Source organism: Homo sapiens, chromosome X, assembly GCF_000001405.40.
Source record: "Homo sapiens chromosome X, GRCh38.p14 Primary Assembly".
NCBI lineage: Eukaryota > Metazoa > Chordata > Mammalia > Primates > Hominidae > Homo > Homo sapiens.
In genome coordinates this window covers 12,607,967-12,622,488 of record NC_000023.11, presented here as the reverse complement: position 1 = coordinate 12,622,488, position 14,522 = coordinate 12,607,967, and the positions used below count along the sequence as shown (strand labels likewise).

The 14,522-nt window shown below is 41.1% G+C and overlaps 1 protein-coding gene and 1 pseudogene across 14 annotated transcripts in view; one reads left to right on the top strand and one right to left on the bottom strand.

Moving 5' to 3' along the window:
• The window catches only part of FRMPD4 (FERM and PDZ domain containing 4), a 902,085-nt gene that overhangs the window by 102,035 nt on the left and 785,528 nt on the right, over window positions 1-14,522 (bottom strand). For all 14 annotated transcript variants that reach the window (NM_001368398.3, NM_001368395.3, NM_001368402.3 and 11 more), the window contains 2 exons: window positions 12,608-12,768; window positions 7,608-7,710 (listed from right to left, as the gene is read on the bottom strand). In NM_001368398.3, the coding sequence (NP_001355327.1) occupies window positions 7,608-7,710; window positions 12,608-12,768 (264 nt within the window). The remainder of the gene's footprint in view (window positions 1-7,607; window positions 7,711-12,607; window positions 12,769-14,522) is intronic.
• RN7SKP290 (RN7SK pseudogene 290) lies at window positions 8,292-8,486 on the top strand (annotated as a pseudogene).

The window sequence follows — 14,522 nt, the reverse complement described above, 5'->3', positions numbered from 1 at the left end:
CCCTTTGATTTGTATAAATCTGGATGTCCATATCCCTTCCAAGATTTAGGACGTTTCAGCCATTATTTCTTTAAATAAGCTTTTTCCCCTTTTTTCCTTTTCTCCTTCTAATATTCCCATAATGCATATATTCATTCAATTGATGGTATCTCATAGGACCTGTATGCTTCCTTTACTCTTTTTTATTCTTTTTACTTTCTGTTCCTCTAACTGGGTAATTTCAAATAGCCTGTCTTCACATTTGCTGATTCTTCTGCATAATTGAGTCTGCTGTTGAAGCTATTAAAATGTTTAGTTTTGTCATTGTATTCTTTAGCTCCAGGATTTCTGTTTGGTTCTTTTTATAGTTCACCTCTCCTCTCCTCTCCTCTCCTTTCCTCTCCTCTCTTCTCCTCTTTTCTTCTTCTTTCCTTCTTTCTTTCCTTCTTTCCTTCCTTCCTTCCTTCCTTCCTTCCTTCCTTCCTTCCTTCCTTTCTTTCTTTCTTTCTTTCTTTCTTTCTTTCTTTCTTTCTTTCTTTCTCTTTCTTTCTTTCTCTCTCTCTCTCTTTCTTTCTTTCTTTCTCCCTTCCTTTCCCTTCCCTTCACTTCCCTTCCCTTCACTTCCCTTCCCTTCCTTTCCTTTTTCCTTTCCTTATTACTTCCTTTCCTTTTTCCTTTCTTTTCTTTTCTTTTTTTGAAACAGGGTCTGGCTATGTTGCCCAGGCTACAGTGCAGTGGTGTGATCTTGGCTCACTGAAACCTCTGCCTCCTGGGCTCAAGTCATCCTCCCACCTCAGCCTCCCAAGTTGCTGGGACTACAGATTCGGGCCACCACATCTGGCTAATTTTTGTAGAGATGGGGTTTTGCCATGTTGCCCAGGCTAGTCTTGAACTTTTGGGCTCAAAGCCATCTGCCTGCCTTGGCCTCCCAAAGTGCTGGAATTACAAATGTGAATCACCACGCCTGACCTGTATTTCTTTATTAAACTTTTTATTTTGTTTATGTATTGCTTTTTGTTTTTCTTGGTGGTCTGTGTTCTCTTGTATCCCACTGAGCTTCATTAAGGTGATTATTTTGTATTATTTTTCATGTAATTTATATATCTCAAATGATATATCTTAGGGGCTGCTTATTGAAGCCTTAATAGTTTCCTTTTGTGGTGTCATGTTTGCTTGATTCTTCGTGATTCATGTAGCCTTGAGTTGGTATCTGTGCATTTGAGAGGGCAAACATCTCTTTCAGTCGTTTTTTTTGTTTGTTTGTTTTGTTTTCTTTTTTTTAGACAGAGTCTTGCTCTGTTGCCCAGGCTGGAGTCCACTGGTGTGATCGTGGCTCATTGCAACCTCTGCCTCCTGGGTTCAAGCGATCCTCCCATCTCAGCCTCCGGCGTAGCTGGGACTACAGTCACACACCACCACAGCAGGCTATTTTTTTTTCTTTTTGTATTTTTAGTAGAGACTGGATGTCACCATGTTGACCAGGCTGATCTCAAACTCCTAACCTCAAGTGATCCACCCACCTCGGCCTCCCAAAGTACTGGGATTACAAACTTGAGTCACTGCACCCGGCCCTCTTCCAGTCTTTATAGGCTGGTCTTTATAGACTGGTTTCAGCTAGTAAATACCTTATCTTGTTGATTTATGAGATTGCCTCTGCAATTGTAGTGGAGCCAGATCATGTGACTACTGCTGTATTTGCAATGGGGTCTGCTAGATTTCCAGTTTTTACAGACTGGTCTTTATAGACTGGTTTCAGCAGGTAAAGACCTTCTCTTGTTGACTGATGAGATTGCCTCTGCAATTACAGTAGAGCTAGATCATGTGACTACTGCTAGATCTGCAATGGGGTCTTGCAATGGGGGGTAGGCCTATTTCCAGAGCCTTGGGAGAGCATGGATCCTATCTCATTCCTGAGTGGACTGGAATGCTTCTAGGATCTTCATTAATTGGGCTGATGCTGGGACAAGGTTCCACAGATCATCGGCCTGTTACTAGGTACACAGATCATTGTAGCTTCCACCTGATCCCTGGGAGGGTTATTGCTGGACCATTGGGTAGGTTTCTGAGTAAGCATAACTGGTCCTGGACTGTGGTTGAGAGGGGCTGGAAATGAGTCATAGGGCTACTTCAGGGTCCACAGTCAAGATCAAGATCCGCAGGCCTGCTTCTGGGGACACAGATGGACATGCTTCCTCGTGGTTTCCTGGGTGGGAAGGACTGTGGCTGTGCAGGGCTGGAGCTGGATCACAGTGTTGCTTTAAGATCTGTAGTTGGACCAAGGCTAGCAGGCCTGCCTGTGGTGGCACAAATGGGCATGTCACTCAACAGGTCCCTAGGTGGAGTCGGGGAATCAGGACTGCTCCTGAATACCAGATGAGAGTGGCTGGAATTGAGTTTCAGGGCTGTTTCAGGATCTGCAGTTGGATCAAGGTTGGCAAGTCTGCCTCTAGGGCACAGAGAAGCCTGTCTCCCTGACCATGGCTGAGAGGAGCTAGGGCCAGGTTATGGGGCCACTTCAGGATCCACATTCAGATGGAGGTCAGTAGGCCTGCCTGAGGGGACACAGGGTGTCCCTGGGTGGGCACGACTGCTCCTAGATTATGGCTGAGAGAGGCTGGAGCTGAATTATGGGGCTGTTTCAAAATCTGTGGAACTAAGTTCATTAGGCCTACCTCTGGGGGTATGAACTGGCCTATTTCCCAGCAGGTCCCAGGACAGGTGGGACTGCTCGCAGACAATGGCTGAGAGAGGCTGGAGCTTGGTCACAAGCCACTCTAGGGTCCACAACTGGGGCCAAGGTCAGCAGATCTGTTACCCAAGGCCAAGGTAGGTATGACTCTTCCCGGGTCCCTTGATGGATAATGCCAGTGGTAGGACTAAGGCCAAACAGGGCTGTAGCCAACTCCACGGGGGGATGTGGTTGTTTCTGGGTCTGTATTTGGGATCATAGTCAGTGAGTCTGCCACCAAGGCCTGGGTGGGTCTGCCTTCTCAAAATGGCCCTCCTCAGTCTTGGGCTCCACCAGGGTTTAGTGACCTACTTGGATTCCAAAACTCCCACAAAGCCACTTTTGTCCATAGGTGGCTGCCAAATTATAGTTGCTATGGGGGATACCAGTGGGGGACCTCATTTTGCCACCTTGTTAATGTCACTCCCCTATCATTTATTCTTATTTCTTATTACAGTTACTTTCTTATTGAAAGAACACTACCGCTACCCAGGAAAGCTCTCCAATTCCCAGGGTATTAGTATAGAAGGGGTGACATGTCTGACAGATGTGAGCAACCCTCTGTAGATAAATAGCCATAACTATAACACTGCTCATCAATTAGATTAGTAGGAATAATCAACATAAATAGTGGGAGAAGGGCAGATGGAGGGATAGTTAGCTGCCCTATTACAGATGTTGGGAGAAAGGGGAATTAGTCTCCAGTTTGACCAGTGTACCTTCTTATTATGGGATGGGCAATTTTCCACTTCAACTGCTTTGATAGAAAAGGATAAGAGCAAGTTGTTTATAAGCTTGACTCTTCAATGTTAGCATCTGGTACTGAGGAAGGGGGAGAAGGGGAGGAAGAGAGACAGCATTCTTAGAGTCTGCTGCCCCGGCTCTAAAACTGGGACTAACTTTAGGGAGTCAAAAACCATTCTAATATTGTATGCAGAACTTTGTATACACGTGGGTTTCTCTGGATGGAGGGAAAAGTCTATGGCATTTATCAGGTTCCCAGTTGCATCTCTAATCCAAAAAATCTAGTGCACCCATTCTAACAGGAGTTAGTAGATTTATGTTGCTGCCTTGAAGGACCAAATTTTGAGGTTGTGATTCGGGACAGCCACCTAGGCAATGGTTTTTTTTTCAATATCTGCAGGTTGGAAAGTGAGTGTCCATCAAGAAGGTCTGGGGTTTCTAGGGTCAAAGGAAAGATCTACTTTACAACTCCCTTCTCATGCATAAACCTGCCCTTCCACTTCGCGTTGATGGCTACTCTTTACCAGCATCAATAATATCCCTTAATACACCATCCATCTCCACCAAACATTCCTACCAAATACTACCCTCGCCAACAGCATTGTCCAGTCATAAATATATGGAAATTAATTAGAATTCTTCTCCTTGAGGGCAAGAATCATGCCTACGTATCTATACATGCTCAGTGCCTTATATGATGTCTGTTAATCCTCAATAATTCTTTGTTGAAGTCAAATGAATTTAATTGGGCTGGCTAGCCGTGGGAGTGGGAAGGCAAGGCACAATTCATAATGTTTCTATGGGCAATAATACTCCTTACTTTTTAAAAATAAAATTTTGGAGACTGCTTTCAGTTAATTAGTCTAATTGTGAAAAGAAAATTATCCTTAGATACTTTTAAAGAAGAAAGATATGGTAATTTGTAAAGGGCATGGATTCTTCAAAGATTTTAGTCCTCAAACACCATTATACAGTCTGAGTTAGAGTTAACAACTTAGAAGACTATGAAGTGAACAGAATTCATCTAATTTCAGTGCAGCAATTATAGCTTTTTGAGACTACATGAAAAAACCAAAATGTTGTTAGTATAGCAGTAAATTGGTCTCTGCAAAACTCTTTCATTTTCTCAAGAAAAAAATAATTTTCCATAATAGAGTAACTAAATGATAAGAAAAATAATCCACCAAGAAACACAAATGGATCTGGGAACAAAAAATGATCCATGAACACATGCTGCAATGGGGGAAAAGGAACAAAACAAGACTACACCACTAAAGCCAGCAAATGGATGCCAATTTTTAAAGAGAGAATTTTACAGTGTTATCAAAATGATGAGTGTTTTTCCAAATTTCCTTAGTGGCTAAGAAAACGGGATGTTTTTTATTATACAGAAAGGGAATTTATCTTGTGTAAGATATAGACCTTAAAACATATATCAGCTGAGGAGCCCAGTAAAAAGGGGATTATTTTACAAGAGCTAAGTGTTTAGGTTAGTACACATTATGGCAGACAGATGACTAAACTTATGGGAAGGCACAGGAATATTTTGTAATGTGTGATCATTTTCATTAGTGAGACATACATTATTTTAACATTGTGGTTTAGTAAGAGTGAAAAGGTTGTGAGCCAGACAGTTTCTGTTGCAACTACTCAACTCTGTTATTGTAGCAGGAAAGCAGACATAGATAAAATGCAAATGAGCAAACATGGCTATACCCAGCAAAATATTTATGGATACTAAAATCTGAATTTTATATGATTTCCATGTGTCACAAAATATATTTTTTCAACTTTTAAAAAATCGTATAAAAAAACCTACCTTTCTTAGCTGATGGACTTTACAAAAACACGTGGCAGGCTGGATTTGAACTTGGAGCTGTTTGCCATCCTCTCTTTTAACTGGTTCATTTTGTTATATGTAAAGTTCTATAGAGAGCGCTTTTTTTACAGATATGCCATTTTCTTCTACAAGCGTTAAACCAGAAATAAAATATCTTTCTTGGAAATAATCTTTCTAAAAGTCCCTGGAACAACTGCTAGGAAGTGATCACACTTTCAGATAGGTTTTTCTCTGTCACTGCCCTGCAGCAGGCAATTAAGTCACAGCCAACCTAAACACAGATATTTTATTTCTTCTATCATCCTCCAGGCACAAAAATCAATAGGACTAATCACAGAGGTGCGCACCTAGGGGAAAACAAAACATCCATGCAACTTCTGCCATCAAGCCCAAACATGGCATTCCAGGATGCAAGCCGATAGAAGGCTCAGAGCCTGCCTAGATAAGGTATGCCCCTGCTGACACCCACACACATCTCAAGAGAGAAGTTATTCCAGATGAACACTGCAGCTCCTTCCCAAGGGCTCTTACATACAGAGTCTTTCTATATTCTGGCTCCCCTTGTCCATAGAAAGATTGGAGACATTCTCAGGTCTTGTTCCCGATGCATAGTGAATATGACACAAGTCTCAGTGTCTGCTCCTGTGTAAGACCATTCCTTGGAGATCTGGATGCCCCAGGAGTACAAGTATGACTTTTCTAGCCATCTGGGAAGACTCCATTAAGCCCAGACTGAAGTAGAGTGACTGTCTTAGTCTGTTTGAGCTGCTACAACAAAGTACCTTAGACTGGGTAATTTGTGAATAATTGAAATTTATTTCTCACAGTTCTGGAGGCAGTGAAGTCCAAGATCTTCCAGTAGATTTGGTGTTTGGTAAAGGCCACATTCCTCAAAGACAGTACTTTGTCACTGTGTCTTTACATGGGAGAAGGAGCAAGGCAATTCTCTTCAACTTTTTATAAGGATACTAATCCCATTCACGATGCAGAGACCTCATGACTTAATCACTTCCCTAAAGGCCCCACCTATTAATACAATCACACTGGGTATCAGGTTCCAACATAACAATTTTGAGGGGGCACTAACATTCAGACCATAGCAGTGACCAACCATTCCAGAGTTTCCCTGGGACATGGGCCTTTTACATGCTAAAACTAGGATGGTTGCTTACTCTTAAGTGCCTTCTCTTTCTATTTCTCTTTTTGCTCCTCTCCCAGTTCTTCCAAGAGTGCTTGACCCTCCAGAACCTCTTTGTGAAGCAAAAGCTGAACTAGGCTTGAGAAAGAAACTTTCTCTGAAAGACCCCAGAAATACTCCACTTAGTGCCTTTCCCAAAGTACAGATGTATTAGGTTGGTGCAAAAGTAATTGAAGTTTTTGCCATTACTTTCAATGGCAAAAACAGCAATTACTGTTGCACCAACCTAACACTTTCCGTAATGAGTGAGCATAAATGTTAGGAAATCCCCTCTTCAGTGAAAAGTGTTCTGATAACCTCAGCTTTGGCTTCAATCTTGGTTGAAAATATGAGTTTATAAAAGACAAATGTCATGTCTCCTTATTCCTCAACACTCCCATAGAATGAATGGATCCATTCATATGATAGGCCCAGCTTCTTCATTTAAAAAACTTCTAAAGAACTCTTTTCCCTTAAATTCACTAAGGAGGTATAACTCCAGTGGGCTTCTAAAGGGATTCTTGACCAATATTTTTTAACATAACATAAAATACATTTTCTGGTGCCCCATTAAGAATATCACATAACAAACTACTTATATTTACAATAAAACTAAACCAATAAACCACTTGTATTTTGTAAACTCTTAGCTTTGACCTAATTATCCTATTGCCACAGTTGATAATCTCAAATTTCAGTAATGAAGCACTTAGTCAAATATGAAGTATCAGTGAACTGTATGTTTGTATATCCATGGGATTATGTATATAAAATTACTCATCACTTTGTGCTGAATTCAGGTATTGTGTTTTGATCTCCCTGATTATGAAAAATCAATGTGTTAGTAATTCTGGAAGGAAAAAATGAACCTTTGGATATAGGAGTCATAAAAATTTTAAACTGAGGCATATGTACCTTCAATGTTAACAGAGAGTGGACAATTAGGAGTTTTGTGTTTATGGAGTATGTGTTTTGATATTACAGGTCAGTGTCAGCAGCATTTTCAACCATGTGTATGTGTTGGCTTGCATTTCCATCCTAAATTGTCCCACAGGAGGCTCTTCCTCTGCTAATTGAGACCTCAGAGCTGTGCAGCAGCCTTCAAAGCAGAACAGGACACAGGTGAATGAGTCACTCACCTGACCAGATCGATGACCCGCTCTCTGGGTGCAGCGCTGACCGGTTCATCATTAATCATTACAATCTGATCTCCCGGGATCAGCTTGCCTTCAGAGGGGCCACCTGGAGACAAATAGAATGAAGCACAGGTGAGAAGACCATTAGCAACCTATCCCAAGCCTCCTCTCCTGATCATGATTCACTGTGAGCAAATGGTGCTATCAGCAAAACCGAAACCCAACCACACTTGGGTGTTCTTTGGACAATTCTGAGGCCCAGGCTTTACCCTGACCAGTTAAATCAGAATCTTTCGGGATGGGACCCAGGCATCCACATTTTTCTAAAACTTTGCAAGCAAGGTCGAGACTCAGTCTAGCAGTGCTTCTCACACTTTATGGTGAATCACCTGGGGATCTTGTTACCATGCGGGGGTGCGGGGTGAGATAATGCAGTTCTCACAAGCTCCCAGGTGCTGCTGATGCTGCTGGTCAACAGGCCATATTGTGTGTGTGTGTGTGTGGTGAGGCCCCTAGAAGGAGCTATTCTCTCAACAGGTAGCCAATCAGTTGTGTTGATACCCTGTGGCCAAAGCTGCAACAATTCGGCACAGCTGGATTCAAACAAAGGTGCATTTATGTACTTATTACAAGTAGGGAGACAGCATACTGTGGGGAATCGTAAGATATCTCAGTAAAAGGGTGTTCGGATGTGAAGGTGATCTGGCTGTGTCATCTGTTGCCCCATTGATCGCCAGGGTTGATTCAGCTGATCTGGCTGGCTAGGCAGGTGTCCCCTTCCTCCCTCACAGCTCCATGTGCATCCCTCCAGCAACCCTCCCACCTCAGCCTGCTGAGTAGCTGGGACCATGGGCACACACCACTCACCCGGCTAATTTTGTTTGTTTGTTTGTTTATTTATTTATTTTGAGATGGAGTCTTGCTCTGTCGCCCAGGCTGGAGTGCAGTGGCACGATCTCGGCTCACTGCAAGCTCTGCCTCCCGGGTTGATGCCATTCTCCTGCCTCAGCCTCCCCAGAAGCTGGGACTACAGGCGCCCGCCACCATGCCCAGCTAATTTTTTGTATTTTTAGTAGAGACGGGGTTTCACCGTGTTAGCCAGGATGGTTTCGATCTCCTGACCTCGTGATCCACCCGCCTCAGCCTCCCAAAGTGCTGGGATTACAGGCGTGAGCCCCTACACCCGGCCCTGTTTACTTTTTGTAGAGACAAGATCTCACTGTGTTGCCCAGGCTGGTCTCAAAATCCTGGGCTCAAGCAATCCTCCCACCTCAGCCTCCCAAAATGCTGGGATTACAGGCTTGAGCCACTGTGCCTGGCCCTTTTCTCTTTCCGTTGTTTCCAAGAAGGGAGTAGGAAACTAATATTTGTTCAGCATTTATTATGCACCAGGCAATGGGTTAAATTCTTGGCCTAGTAACTTCACTGAATACTATAATGCCTTCCATATAATGAGATAATTGAGGCTTACACAGGTTAAAGAATTGACTTGAAGGACGGACTAGATCTTAGCTTGGACTCTTCCAAGTTCAGAATGGTGAATGTCCCTTTTGAATTTGTTCCTATAATTCAGAACCTAGTCACTGCCAGGTTTCTTGACACATAAACTTAAAACCACATCTGAGTGAAGCATACATCTATATTTAAGTAAGATATAAAAACAATTACCTGAATTAAGCTCTAGACATGTGCAATTACCTCCCAAATATTGATACGGTAGCATATGGTACTATAATTTTAACTATATTTCCACAGGTCTGACTCTGGGTGATAGTTGCAGCTGAAACGCTATCTTTCAAATATTATTGCTATTACTTCATTTAGTAATTGAAATGAACACTTCATACCCAGAACATGGAACTGAAAGTAATTCAGTTGTTCTCTACCCACCCAGATACGAGGCATATGTGTCATTCAAGCTGTAGCATAAATTTGTCTTCCTTCCGGGAAGTAAGAGAGTAGGAGAAACTTAACATGTCCTTATATTACTGATACAAAATATTCATTTTACAGATGTGGGATTCAGTGTTTGCACACATAAGGAACTCAGAAAAACCACTTGGGAAACTTATTATAAGTATTATGTGCAAGTAATCACTCAAATTCAGTCAAACAAATGGGTAGCAATCAAACGCTGATCAAATACAGAAAAACTTTCAAAGTAACTGAAGGACGAATGTTAACTATTCTAATAAGAAAACCACTCTCAGATTAACATACTCTTATATTTGACCCATGCTTTTTGATCAAATGAAACTATTCTTGTCTAATCAAGCAACTTTAATCAAGAATTCTGGAGAAGAGACACACTGTCCCATCCAAAATACAAAACAGTGGCACACTTCAAGAGAACTGTCTCATGGCCTTTACTTTGAAGTCTGGATTGCCTACTACAGAAAATCTAGTCACGCACTGAAATCACTTGGGACTTCTGTAGAGTCATTTTTATGATAGACACAGCTTGTTTGACCAATGTTTTCACTCATAACAATAACTGGAAATAGTACTCTTTGACCTTTGTTTTTACCTTTTTTCTACTCTTCTCAAAATTGTGTAAGAGTAGGTATTAGTGTCTTTGAAGCTAAGGAGAATTGAGGGCCAGGAAGGAGAGAGGTTGTAGAAACAGTGAGATGATACCAAAAAATAAAAAATAAGACTTGAATCTTCATTCAGCTCCTGGGAAGACACATACTTCGGAGAATCTCATAATCAGAGATGTTAGATTATCCCAATATTATAAAACAGCATGCCAAATATTATTCCATTTAGGAAAAAATGTGTCTGCATATACATACATACATCTATATATATGTATTATGTATGTGTAAAATATATGATCTCATATGTATTACATATGTGTGTTTGTGTATGCACGGAATTATATCTACTATACATATTATTGCTGTCTACATCAATAATGGCTATATCTTGGTAGTAGGAATTTAGGTGATTTTTTTTTTTACTTTCTCCTCTATACTATCTACATTGTTTCTATTTTTTTTTTTTACAAAGCATGTTATCATAAGAAGCAACAGATCTGTTTTGAGAATTCTCAATTGTGTCGAGCTCAACAATCTTACACAGAGAACTAAAATATGATCTACATTTAATGAAATAAAAAAGTTTAGCAGATAGCACAAGTCTAAAGTGGTTAATTATTTGTGGTGCTTGCCCTGGGGCATATTATGTCAAAATAATGAAAAACGAAAAATGAAACCAAATTTTAAAATCTATACCAGGACGCTACTTGAGTTTCGTTTCCCTTAATTGAGACACTCAACTGGCCAAACATTTTAGAGTTAAATAACAATAACAATAAAAGTAAACATCTATGGAATGACCAGGATGTGCCTGGCACTCTTCTAATTTATTGCATCCTTTCCATAGCCCTACAAGGTAGATACTACTCTGATCCCCATTATACAGAAGATGTAGAGAAGTTACATCAAACTGAAATGCAGGGAATTTAACATGGAAGCTAAAAAGTCTAAAAAGGGGCAGAGGTAGGAGTCAGATTCAGGCAGTCTGATGCCAGAGTCTGTGCTCCTAAGTGTAGTACTTTACTGCTGAATCCTGTTACTGATTTGCAAAATCCTATGAAGAAAGGGCATGGAAGATAATTCCCCTTTTTTTCTGAAAATAAATCCAATATGAGTCCATTACAGTAAGCATATAAATACATATATAATAAATAAATAATAAAAGCACATTGTTTCTGGAAAGGTAAAGGCAGCCCACTTCAGGCGATTGCATCATAGTCCACTGTATTCAGCTGTGTTGACAGCGGAACATCTGTATACTGTAATACGAAGATTGAGGGAAAGTACATTAATTATCTAATCATATTGTAGAATTTTAAAGATTTGACATATACTGTATTAGTCAGCATCTGCTGGATAACAAATCACCCCCAAGCTCAACAGGTGACCAATGATCATTTCTTCTCATGCTTATGGGTCTTTAGGATAACCACAGGCTGGCTGATTTCAGCTAGGCTTAGCTGGACAGTTGTGTACCAAACTGCAGATGAGGCTGTACTTGGCTCCCCACTGCAGGCTTGCTGCCTCGTGTGTTCATTATGGGGCTCATATGGAAGAGATCACAGCTACCTGGGGAAAACTCTTTTTTTTTTTTTTTGAGACAGGGTCTCACTCTGTTGCCCAGGCTGGAGTGCAGTAGCACAATCTCAGCTCACTGCAACCTCTCCCTCCTGGGTTCAAGCGATTCTCATGCCTCAGTCTCCCGAGTAGCTGGGACTTCAGGCAAGCGCCACCACACCTGGCTAATTTTTTGTCTTTTTAGTAGAGATGGGGTTTTGCCATGTTGGCCAGGCTGGTCTCAAACTCCTGGCTTCAAGTGACCCACCAGCCTTGGCCTCTCAAAGTGCTGGGATTATGGCGTGAGCCACTGCACCCAGCCAAAAACTCTCTTCTTATAGCCATGGCAGAAGCTCAGGAAACAAGCTCAATTGCACAAGCACGTCTCAAGCCTTTGCTTATGTCATCTTTGCTAATATGCCGTTGGCCATTGTCAATCACCTGATCCAGCCCAACAGCAATGGAGTATGGTTTTCCCTTTATTTTGCCTCTAATGAGAAGGGAGGGGAGTGCATACTTGTGAAATAATCCAACTACCCCTATGACTAAATCCTACTGTAACCACTTCCTCCTTTTTTTCACTAAGGAATTCATCATGGGCTTACTGTAATACAGTACAGGGCCTGCCTCTTCTTGTCTGCATTCATAAGTTAAGAAGTGATTCATTTCCATGGTTATAGATGATGGCTCAGTATTTTCCTGAGTCTGGTGATAATGATGGATTTGGCAGTTTAAAACCTAGTTTGAGGAAGCATTTCTGTTCCTCTGGTGAAGTGACTCTATCCAGGTTTTGGAAAAACATATCCAGCTTTCACAGCCTGGACACTTATGAAACTGAACAGTAGTTATTCTGGCAGAGTGTGGCAGACATTCCCAGGAAACCAAGAACTGGGATTGGGTGCTTACCTGGTGTTACTGAGCGAACGACCACTGGCTTTTCACTGCCTGCCACAAAACCAAATCCCAGCACGGGGTCCCTTCTCATCTCCACCTTCCGAGGAGCCGGAGGGATGATTTGGCAGCTCTCTAACCGAGGGTCGTCAAAAGGGATTGCCTGTGTCATGTGACTGTGGAGAAAGCACATACAAGAGAAACAAGGCATCAATGTATGTCTTAGGCATTGGCCTGGCAATCATATTCTCTTTAATTTCAAAACCTGTTTTTTGGTAGAGAGTGAGAAAGATCTGGGGAGACCCATAGTCATGCTTCTTTCGTGGCCTACTTGGGCCAGTTTTGCTTCAGGCTTTTGCATTGGCTGTTCCTCGAACCTGGAATGCCTATCCTGCAGATATGCATATGGCCCAGCCTCACCTCGCTCAAGCTTGTGCTCACATATGACCTTGAAGAGGACTGTCCTGGCCATACATTTTAAAAATGCAACCCTGCTCCCCAACATGCCTGATCCCCTTTATGCCCTTCTACTTCTTTGTTCCCCACAGCACTAATCACATGCTAACGTGCTGTAGAATGCAGTTGGCTCTTGAACAACACAGGTTTGAACTGCACAGGTCCACTTATACATAGATTTTCTTCCTCCTCTGCCACCCCTGAGACAGCAAGACCATCCCCTGTTGTTCCTTCCCCTTCTTAACTTACTCAATGTAAAGACAATGAGGATGGAGAACTTTATGATGATCTACTTCTACTTAATGATTAATAAATATATTTTCTCTTCCCTATGACTTTCTTAATAACATTTTGTTTTCTCTAACTTTATTGTAAGAATACAGTATATGAGTATAATGCATATAACATACAAAATATATGTTAATCAACTGTTATGTTATTGGTAAGACTTCTGGTCAACAGTATGCTATCAGTAATTGAGTTTTGAGGGCATCCAAAGTTATACGTGGATTTTTGACTGCATGTGGGGTTGGCGCCCCAAGCCCCATGTTGTTCAAGGGTCAACAGTATACTTAATTTTATGGTTATTTTTGTTGTTTTGCTCTATACACTGGAACATACACTCTATGAGGGCAAGGAACTTGGTTTTATTCACTGATTTATCTCAGGTGCCTAGAACTGTATCTGGCACATAGTACATTCTCAATTAGTACTTGAATTAATAAGTAGAGAAAAAGAGATTTCTTTGTGAAAAGCTGTTAAGTTATAACTGATATGCTTAGAAACAGCCTCAGAGGGTTTCAGACATTTAGAAGGTAATACCTATGGCTTCTGGCCGCAGTAAAATTGAAGTGGATTATTTTGGTGGTGACACACTATCCTGTTGTCAAACACATCTCCATTTCCAAAGAAGTTGAGAACTTAACTCTTGGCATTTGTTCTCCGGAAAGATTTTCAAGTGGTTCAAATGAATCTTTTCATTAACACCTAAACTTCAGAAGTCTTATCAATAATCCCAACTCAAAATTTGTATAGCATTCAAAAATTTTCAAAATACTTCCACAAATACCTAATTTGATACACAAATTGAGAATGAGAGGGCAGAACTGGTATTATTTTGTGGATTTTACCAATAAGAAAACTGAGATCAAAATACTAGTTTATTGTCACTAAGGGCCCATGGCTGGTATGCCAGAGGGTTGGGCCAAAGACTCACTCCCATGACTCTTGATGAAGTCTTCACTCATGCACATTGTTCAAGGCAGCCTTCTTTTGGGGAAAAGTTATTAGTCTGAATAATAGAAATCTCCTTAATGTAATGTAAGCTAAGATTATTTCAATGACACGGGTTTAATTCAAATTTCTCTCCCTGTAATCTTCTTCAATAAGTAAAAGAAGATCATTTAAAAATATCTTGGAAGATGCTACTCTATATGCCATCTGGACAACATATTGTTCAATGTAATAAAGAAAG